Source organism: Homo sapiens, chromosome X (assembly GCF_000001405.40).
Source record: "Homo sapiens chromosome X, GRCh38.p14 Primary Assembly".
Taxonomy (NCBI): Eukaryota; Metazoa; Chordata; class Mammalia; order Primates; family Hominidae; genus Homo; species Homo sapiens.
Genome location: NC_000023.11, coordinates 86577153 through 86599172, shown reverse-complemented (window position 1 = coordinate 86599172; position 22020 = coordinate 86577153). Strand labels below are relative to the sequence as shown.

The 22020-nt window shown below is 34.5% G+C and overlaps 1 protein-coding gene across 8 annotated transcripts in view, besides 1 other annotated feature; it reads right to left on the bottom strand.

Moving 5' to 3' along the window:
• DACH2 (dachshund family transcription factor 2) overlaps nucleotides 1-22020 on the bottom strand; it is a 684152-nt gene that overhangs the window by 233430 nt on the left and 428702 nt on the right. The gene's annotated exons all lie outside the window — the stretch shown is intronic.
• Nucleotides 7365-7638: a silencer, noted in NCBI's record as "fragment chrX:85846538-85846811 (GRCh37/hg19 assembly coordinates)". NCBI's record gives its function as "represses an EF-1alpha promoter that drives an FKBP-Casp9 reporter gene in an ReSE screen in HepG2 liver carcinoma cells {active_cell/tissue: HepG2}" and the evidence as "EXISTENCE:reporter gene assay evidence [ECO:0000049][PMID:32094911]".

Sequence of the window (22020 nt, the reverse complement as noted above, 5' to 3'; positions counted from 1 at the left end):
TATACACCATGGAATACTACGCAGCCATTAAAAAGGATGAGTTCATGTCCTTTGTAGGGACATGGATGAAGCTGGATACCATCATTCTCAGCAAACTATTGCAAGGACAAAAAACCAAACACCGCATGTTCTCACTCATAGGTGGGAATTGAACAATGAGAACACTTGGACACAGGAAGGGGAACATCACACACTGGGGCCTGTCGTGGGGTGGCGGGAGGGGCGAGGGATAGCATTAGGAGATATACCTAGTGTAAATGACGAGTTAATGGGTGCAGCACACCAACATGGCACATGTATACATATGTAACAAACCTGCACATTGTGCACATGTACCCTAGAACGTAAATTATAATAAACACAAAAAAAAAAAAGAAAAGAAAACTAAGAAGCTCTCCCTAAGGAGGCTAACTTTTTTTTGGAACAGTGTGGGAAGTTCAAACTTAAGGGTACTCTTAAATACAATGGAGATTTTAGATGTAAGCAGTGACGAGGAAAGAAATAAAGGGGTTACAACTTAGCTCCATGAGAGAAAAAAGCTAAGCCACAGACCAGCTTGTTAACCAGCAAGGATCATGGAAAGGAGAGCAATTTCTCTCCTGTGGTAGAAAAAAACCGCAAAGACTACCCTATAAAACTACCCTTGCAAAGACACTGGAATATAATTGGATCAGACTATGCAGCATTTATGTTCCAATGCACTGTCAAAACAATAGAATAATAAACTGTAACTCAGAGCTAACAGCTGGGTGTGATACCAACAGACAAATGGCTTAACACAGATACCAGTGAAAGTGACAGTCAAAGAGAACGATGCTAAAACCTTGTAATTTCATGATGACTATACTTAAGCCTAAGGATGCCTCCTCTAAGGACAGACAAAATAAACATTTTTAAAATGTTACCAGCAATAAAGAGGGACATTTTATAATTATAATGGTCACTATATCAGGAAGATGTAATAATTACAAACATACATGATATGGTTTGGCTGTGTCCCCACCCAAATCTCATCTTGAATTCCCGTGTTGTGGGAGGGACCTGGTGGGAGGTAATTGAATCATGGGGGCAGGTCTTTTCCATGCTGTTCTCGTGATAGTGAATAAATCTCACGAGATATGATGGTTTTTAAAAGGAGAGCTTCCTTGCACAGGCTCCCTTCTCTTGTCTGCCACCATGTGAAATGTGCCTTTCACCTTCCACCATGATTGCGAGGCCTCCCCAGCCACGTGGGACTGTAAGTCCATTACCTCTTTCTTCTGTAAATTGCCCAGTATTGGGTATATCTTTATCAGCAGTGTGAAAACGGACTAATACAATATATGTGCCTGAAATTACAGCCCTGGAGTAATGATGCAAAGCCTCAAGGAATGAAGGGAAAATAAACAATTCTAATAATGATCGGAGACTTCAATATTCCACTTACAATAACACATAGAAAAACTAGACAAAATATCACTAAGGAAATATAAAGTTTGAACAATACTGTAAAGCAATTAGATAAACAAGACATCTAGAGACTGCTCCACCAAAACCCATTGGAAACCTACTCTCAAGTGCATATGGATGGAACATTCTCCAGGATAAACCACATGCTAGACAATAAAACAAATCTCAATAAATTTAAAGAATTTAAATCAAGCAAAGTATATCCTCTGACCACAGTAGAACTAATTTGAAATTAATAACAAAAAGAAATTTAGGAAATATAAGGAAATTGAAATACACACTTCTAAATAACCAAAGGATGAAAGATGAGATCACAAGGAAAATTAGAAAGTAGTTTGAGATTAATAAAAATGAAGACATGAAACACCAAAATGCATTGAATGCAGCTAAAGAAGTGCTTAAGGGAGAAATTACAGTTGTAAAATACTACACTAAAAATGAAGACAGAAAGACATCCTGTGTTCATGATTTGGAAAACAATATTGTTAAGATGTCAGTGCTCACCACAGCAATTAACAGACTCAATGCAATTCGAATCAATATCGCAATTGCCTTTTTGCAGAACTAGGAAACCCAAACATATAATTCATATGGAATTGCAAGGGGCCCTGAATAGGCAAAACATCTTGGAAAAGAAAAACAGTGCTCAGGGACTCAAACTTCCCAATTTCAAAACTTACTACAAGACTGCATTAATCAAGGCAGTCTAGAACTTTTGTAAAGATAGACATGTAGATCAATGAAAGAGAAATGAAAATCCAATAATAGACCTATAAATATGTGGTTAATTGACTTTCAACAACATTGATAAGGACACTCAATGGGGAAAAAAAAACAGTTGCTTCAACAAGTGGTGCTAGGATAACCACAGCTAAAGCTATAAAACTTTTAGAAGAAATTATAAGGGTACATCTTGGTGATTTTGGATGTGGCAATAGTTTCTTAGATATGGCACTGAGGGGACAAGCAACAAAAGGAAAAATAGATAAATTGGAATTCACAAAAATAAAACATTTTGTGCATCAGATGACATATCAAGAGAGTTAAAAAGACAACGGACAGAACTCGAGAGAATATTTTAAAACTATGTATCTGATAAATCTATATCCAAAAACCGTGGAGAACCCTAATAACTTAAAAAAAGACAAAAAATTAAATAATTAAACCAATTAAGTAATAGACAAAGGATTTGAATAGACATTTCTCCAAAGAACATGTACAAATGGCCAATAAGAACAAGAAAAATGCTCAACATCATTAGTCATTAGTAAAAAGTAAATCAAAACCACAATGAAATATGCACAGTGGGGGTCATAATGAAAAAATCAGAAAATACGCGTTTGAAAAGACGTGGAGAAATTAAAATTCATATACATTGCTGGTAAGAATGTACAATGATGCAATTACTGTGTAAAACAGTTTGGTAGTTCCTAAAAAAGTTAGACACGAGATTACCATATGACCCAAAATTTCTACTCTTACGTAAATACTCAAAAGAATTGAAAACAGGTATTAAAATAAAAATTGTACAAAAATGTTTATAGCAGCAAATGTCCATCAACTGATAAATGGATTAAAAAATTGTAATATATCTGTATAACGGAATATTATTCAGCCATAGAAAAGAATGGGAACTAATACTTGCTGCAACATGGATGAGACTTGAAAACATTATGTTATATGAAAGATGCCAAGTACAGAAGGCCATATATTGTATGAATACATTTACATGAAATGAAATATTCAGAATAGATAAATATCCAGAATTTAGAGACAGAAAGCAGATTGGTGGTAACAACAGGCAGGGACTAGGGAGTAATAGCAAATAACTTTAATGAGTATGGGGTTTCACTTTCAGGTCTTGAAAAAGTTCTGAAACTACATATTAGTGAGAGTTGTACAATACTGTAACTTTGTAAATTGAATATATGTAAAACTATATATATATAAAACTATATATAACTATATATATGTAAAACTATATATATAACTATAGCTCAATTACAACCAGAAAATGCAGAAAAGGAATAGGAAACACATATAGAAAGAAAGACAAAGGGCAATGAATAAAAATAGTTACAAACATGGAAGATATTAACCAACTATATCAATAATCACTTTAAAAGTCAATGACTTAAATACCCAAATAAAAAGACAGACACTGTCACAGTGGATTTAAGAAAAGACTGCCCAACTCTTGCTTTTTTACAAGAAATCAACTTTAAACTTAAAGACAGAAATAGATTAAAAGTAAAAAGGTAGAGAATTATATATCATGCTAGCACTAATCTAAAGAAAGCTGAAGTAGCTTAGCCAGGCATGGTGGCTCACTCCTATCATCTCAGCACTTTGAGATCCTGAGGTGGGAGGATCACTTGAGGCCAAAAGTTTGAGAACAGCTTGAGCAAAATAGCAAGACTCAGTCTCCACAAAAAATTTTAAAAACTAAAATTATCCAGACAGGATGATGCACAACTGTAGTCCAAGCTATTTGGGAGGATCGCTTGAGCCAAAAAATATTGAGGTTGCAGTGAGCTATGATCATGCCACTGCACTGCAGCTGGGATAACAGAGTGAGATCCTGACTCTAAAAATTAAAAAATATATAATTGAAGAAGAAAACAAGCTGGAGTAGCTATATCAATTTCAGATAAATGAAACTTTCAGAACCAAAAAATTTACAGAGATAAAGAAGGGAATTAAAAAATGATAAAGGAGTCAATTTGCTATGAAAACATAACAATTCTGAAGGTGAATGTGCCTAACAACACAGCACAAGATACATGAGGCAAAACTGATAAAATTTCAAGGGTAAAAAAATGAACCCATTGTTATAGTTGTACATTTCAGCAGCCATCTATCAGTAATTCACAGACCTGGCCGACAGAAAATATCTTAGGACAGAATTAAACTGAATAAGACCATCAGTCAACTGGCTCTACTTGATATTTATATATTTTTCATCCAATAACAGCAAAATACACATTCTTTATAAACTTACATGGATTATTTACCAAGACTGACCAGAATCTAAGCTATAAAATGCTCCCAGGCTCTGATGACATTAAACTAGAAATCAATAACAAAAAATACCTGGAAAACCCCAATATGTAGAGATTAAACAGCACATTTCTACATAACACGTTTATGGAAAAAAAAAGTTTCAAGATAAATTAAAAGTGTTTTGAATGAAATGAAAATAAAAATACAACTTATCAAAATTTATTAGATGCAATGATGCAGTGCTGACAGAGAAACTTGTAGATCAGCATGTATATATTAGAAAATAGGTTATCCATGCTTCTGCCTTTGGAAACTGTAAAGAAGAAGATCATATTAAAACAAAATAAGCAGAAAAAAGTAATAGTAAAAATTACTGCAAAAATCAATGTGATTGATAACATGAAATCACTGAAACTAAAACTTGATTCTCTGAAAAAAATCAATAAAACCAGTAAACCTCTAAACAAGATAACTAAGAAAACAAAAGAGGTATCACATAAATTACTAATATAAAAAATGAGAAGACAGTTATCATTACTGTTCCTAAAAACAATTTTAAAATAATAAAGGAATATTATAAACAACTGTGGGCCCACAAATTTGATAACATAGGTGAAGCAGACCAATTCCTTGAAAGAGTCAATTACCAAAATTCACACAAGAAGAAATGAACAATCTGATGAGGATCATATTTATTAAAGAAATTGAATCAATTATTAATAATTTTCTAAAAGAATAATAACCAGGCTACGATGGGTGTACTGGTGAATTCTACCAAACATTTAAGGAAGAAGTTATACCAGTTCTCCATAATCTTTTCCAGAAAATATAAGCAAATGGAATACTTCCTCACTAATTCTATGAGGCCAGTGATACCCTAATAAAAAAACAGATAAAAATATTACAAGAAATTAAAACTGCAGATCAATATTACTGAAAAACATAGATGAAAATGTTCTCAAAAATGCCAGCCACTAAAATTCAACAATATATTGTCCAGGCACAGTGACTCATGCCTGTAATCCCAGAAATTTGGGAGGCTGAGGCGGGCAGATGACTTGAGGTCAGGAGTTCGAGATCAGCCTGGTCAACATGGTGAAACCCCATCTCTACAAAAAGTACAAAACTTAGCCAAGCATGATTTAGGGAGCCTGTAATCCCAGCTACTCGGGAGGCTGAGGCAGGAGAATCGCTTGAACCCAGAAGGTGGAGGTTGCAGTGAGCCAAAATCCTGCCACTGCACTCCACCCTGGGTGACAGAGTGAGACACTGTCTCAAAAAATAAAATAAAATAAAATAAAATAAAATAAAATAAAATAAAAAAATATATATATGAAAGAATTACATCATGATCAAATAGGGTTTACTTCAAGTGTGCAAGGTTGGATTAACATACAAAATTCAATTAATCAGTTATATCAAGAGAATAAAGAATAAAAATAATATGATAAAATTAATAGATGCGAAAAACCAGTTTACAAAATAAAACATTCATTCACCTTAAAAACTCTCAACAAGACAGAAATAGAGAAAAATCTATTCAACTTGATAAAGAACATCCACAGAAATCCTACAGCTAATTTTATATTATACTTAATGGTCAGAAACTAAATGTTTCTCTGCTAAGGTCAAGAAAATATCAAGGATATCCCCTCTCACCATTTATCATCAACATCATACTGAAAGTCCAAGCCAACATAATAGGAAAAGAAAAGAAAATACAGGATATACATATTGAAAAGAAGAAAATAAAACTGGCTTTGTTTGTAGATGACATGATTGTGTATACAGCTGATCCCAAATAAAATAACTCTTTGAACTAATAAGCAATTACAGCAAGTTTGCAGGATACATGGTTACATATCCAACTCAACTGCTTTCCTCTATACCAGCAATGCACAATTAAAATTTGAACTTGAAAACAAACCTTCCTTTACATCCGCACCAAAAATGAAATAACTAGATATAAATCTAACAAAGTATTTATAAGAAATATAGGAGAAAAACTACAAAACTCTAATAACAGAAATCCATGTAGACCTAAATAAATACAAGCATATTCTACATTCATGGATGTAAGCAATTAATATAATTAAGATATCAGTTCTACATAACTTGATGTATACATTCAACACAATCCCAATCAAAATCCCAGAAAATTAGTTTGTGAAATTGGTAAACTCATTCTAACGTTTATATGAAAATGCAAAAGATCTGGAATGGCCACCACAATACTGAAAGAAAAAAGCAAAGTCAGAGGACTGATACCACCTTATTCCAAGACTTACTATAAATTTATAGTAATCAAGACAGTGTGGTAATAGTGGGTAACAGTGAAAGAATAAACAAAAACATCAATGAAACAGACTAGAGAGCCCAGAAATAGACCCACACAAATATAGTCAACTTTGACAAACTGCAAAGGCAAGTCATGGAGAAATCATAATCTTTTTAACAAATGATACTGGATATCCACATGCAAAAAGAAAAATGAATCTAGATACAGATCTTACACCATTTACAACAATTTAATTAAGAATGGATTCTAGACCTGAATATAAAACACAAAATTATAAAACTCCTAGAAAATAACATAGGAAAAAATCTAATATACCTTGGGTTTGATGAAGACTTTTTAGATATAACACCATAAGCACAATCGATAAAATAAAAAAAAATCATAGTTTAGAACTTTAAAAATTTTGGAAATTTAGAACTTTTGCTCTGCCAAAAAGGTTATTACAAGAATGGAAAGACAAGCCACAGGCCAGAAACGAATCTTACAAAACACATATATGATATAGGGTTTATTCTAAAATATACAAAGAATATATAACTCTCAACAATAAGAAAATAAACAATCAAATTAAAAATTTAGCCAAAGAAGCCGGGAGCGGTGGTTCACGCCTATAATCCCAGCACTTTGGGAGGCTGAGGCGGGTGAATCATGAGGTCAGGAGTTCGACACCAGCCTGGCCAATATGGTGAAACTCCATCTCTACTAAAAATACAAAAATCAGCCAGGTGTAGAGTTGCACGCCTGTAGTCCCAGCTACTCGGGAGGCTGAGGCAGAAGAATTGCTTGAACCCAGGAGGCGGAGGTTGCAGTGAGCAGAAATTGTGCAACTGCACTCCAGCCTGGGTGACAGAGCAAGACTCCTTCTCAAAAAAAAAAAAAATAGCCAAAGAACTGAGTAGACACCTAATTAAAGAAGATACACAGATGACAAATAACCATATGAAAAATGCCCAACATCCTATGTTATTAAAAAATTGTAATGTTGGTGGGACTGTAAACTAGTTCAACCATTGTGGAAGTCAGTGTGGCGATTCCTCAGGGATCTAGAACTGGAAATACCATTTGACCCAGCCATCCCATTACTGGGTGTATACCCAAAGGATTATAAATCGTGCTGCTATAAAGACACATACACACATATGTTTATTGCGGCACTATTCACAATAGCAAAGACTTGGAACCAACCCAAATATCCAACAATGATAGACTGGATTAAGAAAATGTGGCACATATACACCATGGTATACTATGCAGCCATAAAAAATGACGAGTTCACATGTCCTACAAAGGACATGGATGAAGCTGGAAACCATCATTCTCAGCAAACTATCACAAGGACAAAAAACCAAATACCACATGTTCTCACTCATAGGTGGGAATTGAACAATGAGAACACATGGACACAGGAAGGGGAACATCACACACCGGGGACTGTTGTAGGGTGCGGGGAAGGGGGAAGGGGGAGGGATAGCATTAGGAGATATACCTGATGCTAAATGACGAGTTAATGGGTGCAGCACACCAACATGGCACATGTATACATATGTAACAAACCTGCACGTTGTGCACATGTACCCTAAAACTTAAAGTATAATAATAATAAAATTTAAAAATAAATAAATAAATAAAACTGCGAGATACCTATTTATCTATATACCTATTAGAATGGCTAAAATCCAAAACACAAACACCACAAAATGCTGGCAAGTTTGTGCAGCAACCAGAATTCATATTCACAGCTAGTGAGAACGCAAAATGATAGAAACATCGGAAAGCAAATTATTAGTTTCATACAAAACTAGACATACTCTTGCCATATGATCAAGCAGTTGTGCTTCTTTGTAGTTACCCAAATTAGCTGAAAATGTATAGCCACATATATACCTCCATAAAAATATATACAGCAGCTTCATTGATAATTACTAAAACTTGGAAGCAACTAAGATGTCCTTCAATAAGTGAATGTACCAGTTACTAAACAATATTCTCTCTGTAACAAACCCACTCCTCTGAGCTCTGCTTTGTGATGATGGGGCCAGGACTTATTAGATTTCATTGTTCCTTTGAAAAGAAGGCTTCCTGTAAAGTTCTTCCTCCATAAAGGTACTAGAAGAGACTGGAAGGCTGGGGGAGGAAGAACTGACATACTCTTTTTTGCTTTGCTTCCTGTTCTCAAATTGCCTCAGCAATGGCCCTTTACCTTAGCAGCGCAGTTAATTTCAATCTTCAGCTTCTTTCTTATATTCCTAAACAGTGTCACTGAGCCTCTTCCAAGGTACTAGCAGCGGTGAGACAGTGATCCCTCCTCAGAGGTCTGAGTCCCAGTATAATGGGGACTAAATTTCTACAAGCCAACTCTTTCTCTTTGTTCCCCCAGCCTTAGCGGTGGTAACTGCTTGCTTTAGTTATTTATTATCTGTGTTTCCTAAGTGTTCTCTCTTTGATCTTTCAATACTCCAACACTTAACCAATTTCCCACCTTTAAAAAAGTGAATGTATAAACATACTGCGGTAAAACCAATAAATGGAATGTTATTCAACAATGAAAAGAAATGAGGTATAAGATGTGAAAAGACATGGAGAGACCTTAAGTGCATATTGCTAAGTGAAAGAACGCAGGCTAAAATGCTACATACTGTAAAACTCCAATAGATAACACTCCAGAAAAGGCAAAACTATAGAAACAAGACAAAGATCAGTGGTTATCAGGCATTCAGGGGAAGTGAGAGAGAGGTGAATAGGTGAAGTCAAACTATTCTCTGTAATATTATAATAATAAATACATGATATTATACATTTGTGAAAACTATAGAACTCTACAACACATACAATGGACTCTTACATAAATTATAGACTTTATTTAATAATGTATCGTTATTGGTCCAACACTTATGCCAAATGCGCTACACTAACACAATTTAATAAAAGGAAAATAGTGTGTAAATGAAGAGGGACATATAAAAAGTCACTATAGTTTCCATTCATTCCATTCCATTTCTATAAACTTAAAATGTATCTAAAAAATAAATAATATGATTTTTTTAAAAAATAGAGTGAGGTAATATTTTCCATTCGCTAGAAAAAAACTAACTCTAAATATAGCAGAAGAAAAGAAATAACTAAAATCAGAGCAGAATTGAATAAAATCGAGACCCAAAAATTCATACAGAGTTGTATTCAAAAAACCAAAAGTTGGTTCTTCAAAACAATAAATAAGATCAATAGATCAATAGTTAGATTAACAAAGAATGAGAAGAGAAAATCCAAATGAACACAAGCATAATTAAAGACAAAAACCATACGATCACTTCAATAGAAAGACAAAAACTTTCAATAAAATCCAACATCTCTTCATGATAAATACTCTCAACGAACAAGGCATTGAAGAATCATAACTTAAAATAATAAAAAGCATCTATGACAAATCCACAGCCAACATCATGCTGAATGGGTAAAAGCTGTAAACATTTCCTCTAAGAAGGGGAACAACATGAGGATGCAAGCTCTCAGCACTCCTACTCAACATAGTACTGAAAGTCCTAGCCACGGCAATCATGCAAGAGAAAGAAACATAAAATCATCCTAATAGGAAGAGAGGAAGTCAAAATAACTCTTTGCTGACAAAACAATTCAATACCTAGGAAACCCCAGAGACTCCACCAAAAGGCTCCTAGATCTGATAAATGACTGCAGGAAAGGTTTAGGATTCAAAATCCATTTAGAAAACCCAGTAGCATTTCTGCACCCCAATAACTTCCAAGCTGAGAGCCAAATCAAGAACACAGTCCCATTCACAATAACCACAAACAATAGAATACCTAGGAATAGAGCTAACCAAGGAGATGAAATTTCTCTATGAGGAGAAAATGTTTAAAAACTGCTGAAAGAAATCAGAGATGACAGAAACAAATGGAAAATATTCCATGCTCATGGATTGGAAGAATTAATATCGTTAAAATGGCCATACTGCCAAAAGCAATCGACAGATTTAATGTTCTTCCTATAAAGCTACCAATGTCACTTTTTGCAGAATTAGAAAAATCTATTCTAAAATTCATATTGAACCCAATAGGAGCCTGAATATACAAAGCAGTCCTAAGGGGGAAAAAAGCCAAAGGCATCATGTTATCAGATTCAATCTATACTATAAGGCTATGATGATTGAAACAGCATGGTACTGGCATAAAAACAGCACAGAGACCAATGGAAAGAATAGACTGCCTAGAAAAAAGGCTGCACCCCTACAATGATCTGACTTTCAACAAAGTCAACAAAAATAAACAACAGGAAAATGACTACCTATTTAATAAATGGTGCTGGGATAACTGTCTATCCATACTCAGAAGAATGAAACTAGATCCCTACCTTTTACCATATACAAAACCTAACTCATGATGAATTAAAGATTTAAATTTAAGACCTCAAACTATAAAAATCCTAGAAGAAAACCTAGGAAATACCATTCTGCATATCACCATTGGCAAAGAATTTATGACTAAATCCTCAAAAGCAATTTCAAGAAAAACAAAAATTGACAAGTAGGACCTAATTAAATGAAAGCTTTTGCACAGCAAAACAAACTATAAAGAAAGTAAACAGCCAATGCACAGAATAGAAGCAAATATTTGCAAACTATGCATTCAATAAAGGTTTAATATCCCTAATCTGAAACTTAAATCAATGAGAATAAACAACCACATTTATAAATGGGCAAAGGACATAAACAGACACTTTTCAAAGGAAGACATACAAGCAGCCAACAACCATTTGAACAAATGCTTATCATTAATAAACATCACAGGTTCATGTTAAAAACTCTCAACAAACTATGCATTGAAGAAACATACATCAAAATTAGAGCCATCGATGACAAATCCACATCCAACATCATACTGAATATGCAAAAGTTGGAAGTATTCCCCATGAAAACCTACACAAGGCAAGGATGATCACTCTAACCACCCGTGTTCAACATAGTACTGGAATTCCTAGCCAGAGCAATCAGGCAGAAGAAAGAAAGAAAAGTTATCCAAATAACAAGAGAAGAAGTCAAACTATCTCTATTTGGAGATGTCATGATGCTATATCTATAAGACCCCATAGTCTTTTCGCCAAAGCTTCTTGTTCTGAAAAAATAACTTCAGCAAAGTTTCAGGAGACAAATTCGATGTAGAAAAATCAGTACTATCCCAACACACCAATAACATCCAAACAGAGCCAAATCAAAAACGCAATCCCATTCATAACTGACATGAAAAGAATAAAATGCTTTGGAATATAGCTAACCACAGAGGTGAGAGATCTCTACAATGAGAATTACAAAACACTGCTCAAAGAAATCAGAGATGACACAAACAAATAGAAAAGCATTCCATGCTCATGAATAGGAAGAATCAATATTGTTAAAATGGCCATTCCAAAGCAATGTACAGATTCAGTGTTACTCCTATTGAACTACCAATTACATTCTTCACAGAACTTAAAGAACTATTTTAAAATTTATATGGAATTGAAGAGATACCTAATAGCCAAGGCAACCCTAACCAAAAGGACCAAAGCTGAAGGATCACTTTAACTGCCTTCAAACTGTACTACAAGGCTACAGTAACCAAAACAGCATGGTAATGATACAAAAACAGTCACACAGACCATTGGAACAGAATAGATAGTCCAGACTAAGCCTGCATAATACATCCATCTGATTAGACAAAGCCAACAAAAACAAGCAATGGGGAAAGGACTCCCTATTCAATAAATGGTGCCAGGATAACAGTCTAGTCACATGTAGAAGATTGAAACTGGACCTCTTCTTCACCATACACAAAAATCAACTGAAGATGGATTAAAGACTTAAATGTAAAACCCAAATGTAAAAACTTAAATGTAAAAACCCTGAAAGACAACCTAGGCAATATTCTTCTGGACATAGGACCTGGCAAAGGTTTCATGATGAAGATGGCAAAAGCAATTGCAATAAAAACAAAAACTGACAAATGGAACCTAATTAAACTAGAGAGCTTTTCCATAGCAAAAGAAACTACCAACGGAGTAAACAGACAACCCAAAGAATAGGGGAAAATATTTGCAAACTATGCATCCAACAAAGGTCTAATATCCAGAATCATTAAGGAACTTAAGCAAATTTGCAAGTAAAAAACAAACAACCCCATTAAAAAGTGGGCAAAGGAAATGAACAGACATTTTTCAAAAGAAGACATAGGTGTGGCCAACAAGCATATGAAAAAATACTCAGCATCACTAATCATCACAGAAATGTAAATCAAAACCACAATGAGATACCATCTCATACCAGCAAGACTGGCTATTATTAAAAATGAAAAAAATAACAAATGCTAGCAAGGTTGTAGAGTAAAGGGAATGCTTATACATTGTTGGGGGAATCTAAAATAGTTTCACCACTGTGGAAAGCAGTACATCAATTTTTCAAAGAACTTAAAACAGAATTACCATTCGACCTAGCAATTCCACTATTGGGTATATACTCAAAGGAATATAAATCATTCTACCATGTAGACACATGCACACACATATTCATTACGGCACTATTCACAATAGCAAAGATATGCAATCAACCTAAATTCCCATCAATGACAAATTGAATAATGAAAGTGTGGTACATATACACCATGGAGTACTAAACAGACATAAAAAAGAACAAGATCATTTCCTTTGCTGCAACATGGATGAAACCCCAGGCCATTATGCTAAGCAACTAATGCAAGAACAGAAAATTGAATACCACCACACATTCTCATTTATAAGTGAGAGCTAACCAATGAGCATACATGGACACATAGTAGGGAACAATAGACACCAGGGCCTACCTGAGGATGGAAGGTTGGAGGAGGGAGAGGATCAGAAAAGATCAGAAAATATACCTATAGGGTACTATGCTTATTACCTGGGTGAGGAAATAATCTATATACAAAATCCCCATGACACGCAATTTGCCTGTTTAACAAACCTGCATGTGTACCCCGAACCTAAAATAAAAGTTAAATGATAATAATTAATTAATTAATTAAACCACATTGAGATACCATTTCACATCCATCAGAATAACTATTACTAAAAGCACAAAAAATAACAGATACTGGAAAGGCTATGGAAAAAGGAAACATTACAATGATCGTGAGAATGTAAATTAGTTCAGCCACTGTGGTATGCAGTTTGGAGATTTCTCAAAGATCTTATAACAGAACTATCATTGGACCCAGCAGTATCATTACTGTAAACATATATACCCAAAGGAAAATAAATTATTCTACCAAAAAGACACATGCATGCGTATGTTGATCACAGCACTATTCACAATAGCAAAGACATGACATCAGCCTAGGTGCCCATCAACAGTGGGTTGGATTAAGAAAATCTGGTACCTGTACACCATGGAATACTGCACAGCCATAAAAAAGAATAAAATCATGTTCTTTGCCATGACATAGATTCAGGTGGAGGCCTTCTAAATGAATTAATGCAGTAACGGAAAATCAAATATTGCATGTTCTCATATATAATGAAAGCTAAAAACTGGGCACTTATGGACATAAGGATGGGAACAATAGACACCGGGGTGTACTAGAACACTGAAAAGCTGAAAAGCTACCTATTTTGTACTATAGTCACTACCTGGATGATAGAATCATTCATACAACACACCCCAGTGTCACTCAATATCCCCTGAATCTAAAATTAAATTTTAAACTATACACCCGTTATGTACTCGCAAAAATTATGACTAAGAAAATTAATGAATGACCCAAAAAATGTGGTATGCTACTAAAGCAGTGCTGAGAGCCAAAGTATAGCATTAAGTGCTTATATTATAAAAGAAAGGTGATTTTGAATCAACAATTTAAACTGCCACCTTAAGAATCTACAAAAAGAAGAGAAAAATGAACCTAAATAAAGCAGAATGAAGGATCATATTAAGAGAATAAGCAGAACATATAAAAACAACAGAGAAAATCAATGAATGCAAAAGCTGTTTATTAAATGATTAATAAAACAGGAAAATATCAAACCACGAAAAAGTGAAAAATGGCAAAGGTATCAGAAATAAAAGAGGGAATATCTTAAACACCCAGAATAATTCAAGATAATAATAATAGAATAAAACGAATAAATCTGTGCCCATAAATTGGAAAATTCAAATAAAAAAGAACAATTCCTTAAAAACTGCAAACCACCAGAAGTCACCCAAACTGATATAGATTGCACAGAGACAGCCTATTTCTAAAATCTTCAAAGAAGTTCAAATTAAATAAAAGAAATTAAGTAAAAATTTGAAACAAAGAAATTGAATTCATAGTTGAAAACTTTTCAAAAAACAAATCTCCGGGCCCACGTGATTCTAATGGTGAATTCTATTAATATTCAACATTTAAATAAGAGATAGCACCAATTCTATATAATCTCTTCTAGGAAATAGAAGAGAAGAGAACACTTCCAATTTCTTTTTACTAGGCAGGCATTACTCTCATAACCAAACCAGAAAATGATAGTGTAAAAAAGGAGAAAACTCCATATGAATCTCTCTCAACAATATGGAAACATAAACTCTTAAGAAATATTAACAGAATTCAGTTCTACAAATATATACATACACACACACACACTCACACACACACTATGACCAAGTGGGGTTTATTCCTGAGATGCAAGGCTGGTTATTTATTTGAAAATTAATATATGTATTTCACCACATTAACAGTCTAAAAAAGAAAAACCGTATGGTCTTATCAATTGATGAAAAAAAACATTTGACAAAATCCAATAATAAAGTATGGTTTAAAAAAAAACAGTGCACATGTACCCTAAAACTTAAAGTATAATAATAATAAAATTAAAAAAATTTAAAAAAAGCAGCAAATAGAAATAGAAGATAATTTCCTCTGAAGTAGTTTATTGAATCAAGGAGCTTTTGGGCAAAGACAATGGGATTTTCTAGGTATAGAATCATATCTGCCAACAGAGATACTTTGACTTCTGCTCTACCTATTTCGATGCCTTTCAATTTTTTTTTCTTGCCTGATGGCTCTAGATAGGAATTCCAGTACTATGTTCAATAAGAGTGATAAGGTTTGGCATCCTTGTCTTATTCCAGTTCTCAAACGAAATGCTTCCAGTTTTTTCATGTTCAGTATAATTTGGGGTGTGGGTTTGTCATAGATGGCTATTATTTTGAGATATGTTCCATCAATGTCTAGTTTGTTAAGGGTTTTTTAACATGAAGGAATGTTGAATTTTAGTGAAAGCCTTTTCTGCGTCTATTGAGATGATGATTTACTTTTTGTTTTTAGTTCTGCTTATGTGATAAATCACATTTATTAATTTGCTTATGTTGAATCAACCTTGCATCACAGGGATAAACTCTGCTTGATCATGGTGGATTAGCTTTTCGATGTGCTACTGAATTCGGTTTGTTAGTATTTTGTTGAGAAATTTTGCACCTATTTTCATAAAAAATTTGGCCTAAAATTTTCCTTTTTGTTGTTGTTTCTGCCAGGTTTTGGCATCAGCGTGATGCTTCCATCATAGAATGAGTTAGGCAGGAGTTTCTCCTCCTCATTTTTTTTTTAAATAGTTTTAGTAGGAATGGTACCCGCTCTTCTTTACACATCTGGTAGACTTTAGCAGTGAATCCATCTGGTCCTGGGCTTCTTCCGGTTGGTAGGCTTTTTATTACTGACTCAATTTCAGATCTCGTTATTGGTCAGTTAGGAGATTCAATTTCTTCCTGGTCCAATCTTGGGATGTTGTGCGTTTCCAGGAATATATTCATTTAATTCTAGGTTTTCTAGTTGTGTGCATAGAGATGCTCATAGTAGTATCTGAGGGTTTTTGTGTGTGTGCATGCATTTCTGTAAGGTCAATGGAAATATGACTTTATCATTTCTGATTGTGTTTATTTGGATTTTTTCTTTATTCATCTATCTACCAGTCTATTAATCTTATTTATTCTTTCAAAAAAATAAACTCCTGAATTCATTGCTCTTTTTTATTTTTTATTTTTGCATTTTAATTTTGTTCATTTCAGCTCTGATTTTGGTTATTTCCTGTCTTCTGCTACCTATATTGCTGGTTTGCTTGTGTTTCTCTAGTCCCTTTAGGTGTGATGTTAGGTTGTTAACTTCAGATCTTTTTAACTTTTTGATGTGGGCATTTAGTGCTATAAATTTTCCTCTATAACACTCCTGTAGCTATTTCCCAGAGATTCTAGTTTGTTTTATTTTTTTCTCATTTGTTTCAAATAATTTCTGTCTTAATTTCATTGATAACCCAAAAGTTACTCAGGAGAAGGTTGTTTAATTTCAATGTAATGTAATATGTTTTTGAGAGATTTCCTTAGTATTGATTTCCATTTTATTATACTGTTGTCTTTGAGTGTGGATGGCATAATTTCTGTTTTGAACTGGATGAGAATTGTTTTATGCCAGATTTTATGGTCAATTTTAGAGTCTGTGCCATATGTAAATGAAAAGAATGTATATTCTGTTGTTTTAGGGTAGGCTTATTGGTCAAGTGTTGAGTTCAGGTCCTAAATATCTCTGTTAGTTTTCTGCCTCAATAATCTGTCTAACACTTTCAGTGGGGTGTTAAAGTCTCCCGCTCAAAATTATTGTGTGGTTATATAAGTCTCTTCATAGGTCTCTAAGAACTTGCATTATGAATCTGAGTGCTCTTGTGTTGGGTGTATCTATATTTAGGATAGTTACTTCTTCTTGTTGAATTGAACTAATTACCATTATGTAATGCCAATTTTTTATTTTTTTTTCTTTTTGTTGTACTGAAATCTGCTTTTTGTAAAATTACAATAGCAACCCCTGTTTTTTTGTTTTGTTTTGTTTTCTGTTTGCTTGGTAGAGTTTTCTCCAAGCTCCATTTACTTTGAGCCTATGGGTGTCATTGCATGTGAGATGCATCTCTCAAACACTGCACACCATTGAGTCTTGCTTATTTCTCCCACTTTGCCACTCTGTGCCTTTTAGCTGGAGCATTTAGCCCACATACATTCAAGTTTAATATTGGTATGTGTGGATTCACTGTCATTGTGATGTTAGCTGGTTATTATGCAGACTTGTTTGTGTGATTGCTGTATAGTGTCAATGATCTATGTACTCAGGTGTGTTTTTGAGGTGGTTGGTAGTGGTCTTTCCTTTCCATATTTAGCATCCCTTCAGGATCTCTTAGAAGGCAGATCTGGTGGTAAAATTGCCCTTAGCATTTGCTTGTATTAGAAGGATCTTATTTCTCCTTTCTTAGTTTGGCCAGAAATGAAATCCTTTGTTGGAATTTATTTTCCTTAAGAATGTTGAATATAAGCCCCCATTCGCTTCTGCTTATAGGGTTTCTGATGAAAGGTCTACTGTTAGCCTGATGGGGTTCCCTTTGTAGGTGACCTGCCCCTTCCCTCTAGCTGCATTTAATTTTTTAAAATTTCATGTTGACCTTGGAGAATTTCATAACTATGTGTCCTGGGGATTGTCATCTTGTACAGTATTCAACAAGGGTTCTCTACATTTTCTGAATTTGAATGTTGGGATTTGTAGCAATAGTGGGGAAATTTTTATGGATGATATATTCAAATATGTTTTCCACGTTGCTTATTTTCTCTCCCTATTTCAGGGGCACTAATGAGTGCTAGATTTGTACTCTTCACATAATCCCTTATTTCTCAAAAGCTTTGTTCATTTTTCTTTATTCTTTCTTCTTTAGTTTTATCTGACCGACTTATTTGGAGAACCAGTCTTCATGCTCTTAGTTTCTTTCCTCAGCTTGGTTGATTCTGCTGTTATTACTTGTGATTGTATTATGAAATTCTTGATGTGAGTTTTTCAGCTCTATCAGATTAGTTTGGTTATTTCTTAAAACGGCCATGTCATCTTTCATCTCCTCTGTTATTTTTTGTTATTATTTAGAATCATTGAATTGGGTTTCAATTTTATCCTGAATCTCAATAATCTTCATTTGTGTCCATATTCTGAATTCTATTTCTGTCATTTACACCATTTCAGCATAGTTAAGTTCAATACTAGTTCAGGAACTAGTACAGTCATTTAGAGGTGAGAAGATGTTGTGGCTTTTCAAGTTGCCAGATTTCTTGCACTGGTTCTCTCTCATTTCTGTGTGCTAATGTTCCTTCAGTGTTTGAAGTTGCTATCCTTTGAATGGGATTTTAAAAATGTTATCTTCTTTGATGCCCTTGGGGGTTTGATTTTAGTATAAGGTGGGGTTTAGTCAACTGGCTTCATTTCTGGAAGATTTTAGCGGGCTAAGACTCAAGTAAGAGCTCCTGGTCTGCATGCTCAAACTCTCATGAGCTGGTACTGGGCTCCCAGCTTTGTTCACTGGCCCCTCAAGGTTAGAAACCTGCTGCACTGGAGGGGCTGAGGTGTTCCTGGTGTGCTGGCCACCGAACTCCTCTGGGTGGTGCATGCCAAAGCACTTCATCAAAGTCACTGCAGTATAATCTGTGCTCACTTGCATGTGCCAGCAGCCATGGCAGCACGGCAGGCTGCACGCATGTAGGCTGTGGTGGTATAGCAGTGTAAGCAAAGTGCTAACTAATTTTTGAATGGAAAACAATCATCTTCAACAAATGATATGTAAAAATTGCAAGCTATATGCCAACAGGAACATCTACCTAAACCTTACACTTTATGCAAAATATAAAATATATCTAAATGTAAAACAATAACAAGATCCATACTGAAAAGAATAATAAATTGGATTTCATAAAAATTAATAACATTTGTTCTGTGGAAGGCACTTTTAAGAGAGTAAAAACACAAGCTACAGAATAGGTGGAAATATTTTCAAATCACAAATTCAAATCATTGCACTGATTGGTAGGTAGTTCATTTGTATTTATCTCTAAATACTATTTCATTGTATGGATGTACCACAGTGCATTTTTTTTTTGTCCACTCACCTGAGAGACATATATTATATACAGAATGTATAAAGAGCTTTCAAAACTCCAGTTTAAAAAAACTAAAAAATGGTAGCTGGGTGCAGTGCCTCACATCTATAATCCTAGCACTTTGGAAGGACGAAGTAGGTAGATCACTTGAGGTCAGGAGTTCGAGACCAGCCTGGCCAACACAGTGAAACCTCAACTCTACTAAAAATACAAAAATTAGCCAGGCATAATGGCAGGTGCCTGTAATCCCAGCTACCAGGGAGGCTGAGACAGGAGAATTGCTTGAACCTGGGAGGCGGCGGTTGCAGTGAGCCGAGATTGTGCCATTGCACTCCAGCCTGGGCAACAAGAGCGAAACTCCGTCTCAAAAAAAAAAAAACTAAAAAGTGAACAATAAACTTGAACACATACTCATACTGCACCAAATAATATATGCAGATAAAAATAAGCACATAGAAAATAATCAGCATCATTAGCAATTAGGGAAATGCAAAGTAAATTCATGTCACGATACCACGATATCTGTTAGAATGGCTAAAATTTAGAAATATATATATTGATTTAAAAAACTTGTCAAAGATGAAGATCAACTAGAACAAACATTACTGGTGGGAATACAAAATGCTACATCCACTTTGAAAGAGAATGTAGCAATTATATACTATACAACCCAGTAATAACATTCCTTGATACATACTCACTCAAGTGAACTGAAAACTAATCTACACAAGAAAACCCCCACTATAATTTTTACAGCAACTTCATTCATAATCACCAAAAATATGGTGACTGCCAAGATGTCCTTCAATAGGTGAAAGGCTTAACTATAGTACGTCCATACAGTGTTGGGAAATACAAAAGGAACGACCTACCAGTCCACACAACAATATGGATGAATCTTAAGTGCATATAGCTAAATAAGGAAGCCAGTCTGAAAAAGCTAGATATTCTATGATTCCAATTATATAGCATTCTTGAAATGGCAAAACCAAATAAATATGAATTAATAACCAAGGAAATCTGAGTAAATAATGGATTTTAGTGACAAATAATGTATCAATATTAGTTCAAAAGTAACAAATATACCATAGTAATGTTGAGATGCTAACAACAGGAAAAATCGAATGTCGGAGGTTAAAAAAAAAAAACCTATTTTTCTTCTGCTCTCACACCACACAACAATGAACACAGAGAGTTATGAGATCAAATGTGTGGGGATTTCTCTCCAACAAGAAGAAAGCAATCAATTCTGCAGTGACACCAGCTGAATTTCCTCCAATTTAATGCTGCTGTTACCTGGAGATGGCATTAGATCCCACAGATTGAGGGCTCAGTCCTGCAAGACTGACCTCTCCACCAGACACCAATCAAGCCTGGGTCTCTGAAAGTTCTGGCCCATAGGTTTCAAGTTTGGGTTCACATACTCCCCATTTGTGGTTTGATTAATTTCTTAGTGCCACTCATAGAACTCATGTAAATTCTTACATTTCCCAGTTTATTATAAAGGATATTACAAAGGATACTAAAATCAGATCAAATATTTGAATAGGTCAAGGTATATGGTAAGGGGTGTGAAGCTTCCAGGCCTTCCCTGGACATGTTATCTTCCAGGACCCTCCACATATTCAACAATCCGAAAGCTCTACATAGCCAGCCCTCTTGGGTTCTTAGGAAGACGTTATTAGGTGGGCATGATTGATTAAACCATTGGTCAATGGTGATCAACTTAATCTTCAGCCTTTGTACACTCTCCGGAAGTTCTGCCCTCCAATCATGGCTTGGTCTTTCTGGTGACTAGACCCCCAGGGGCTGCCAGCCATAAGTCAACTCATTAGAATACAAAAAGGCATCACTTTGGAGATTCTGAGGATTTTAGTAGTTGTATGCCAGGAAATCATTAAAGACCAAACAAATATTTTAAAATATCACAAAAGTATAGAGGAAAATTCTGTACTATCTTTGCAACATTTCTGTAAATCTAAAAATATTTTTATATCTTTTATTTAAAATATTCATAAAATCCTATAAAAAGCCTATTCTTCCATATTATTAAAATAAAATTTTAAATGTTAAAATTTAATGGAGGAGCACTGTAGATTAAGATTCTAAATAATAGAGAATTTTGCTATAAAGAAGGCTATAGTATTAATTATAATAGCCTATTAAAAACAACCTGAAAGACATCTACTTCTTATTTTCTCCCATCTTAACTAACTGCTCCTGTTTTGCTCCAAAACAAAACACACACACAAGCACTCAGAAACAAAGAAATGCACATCCCCAAAATCTTTAGAAAATGAAATTAATAGTAACTGCCGTTGGT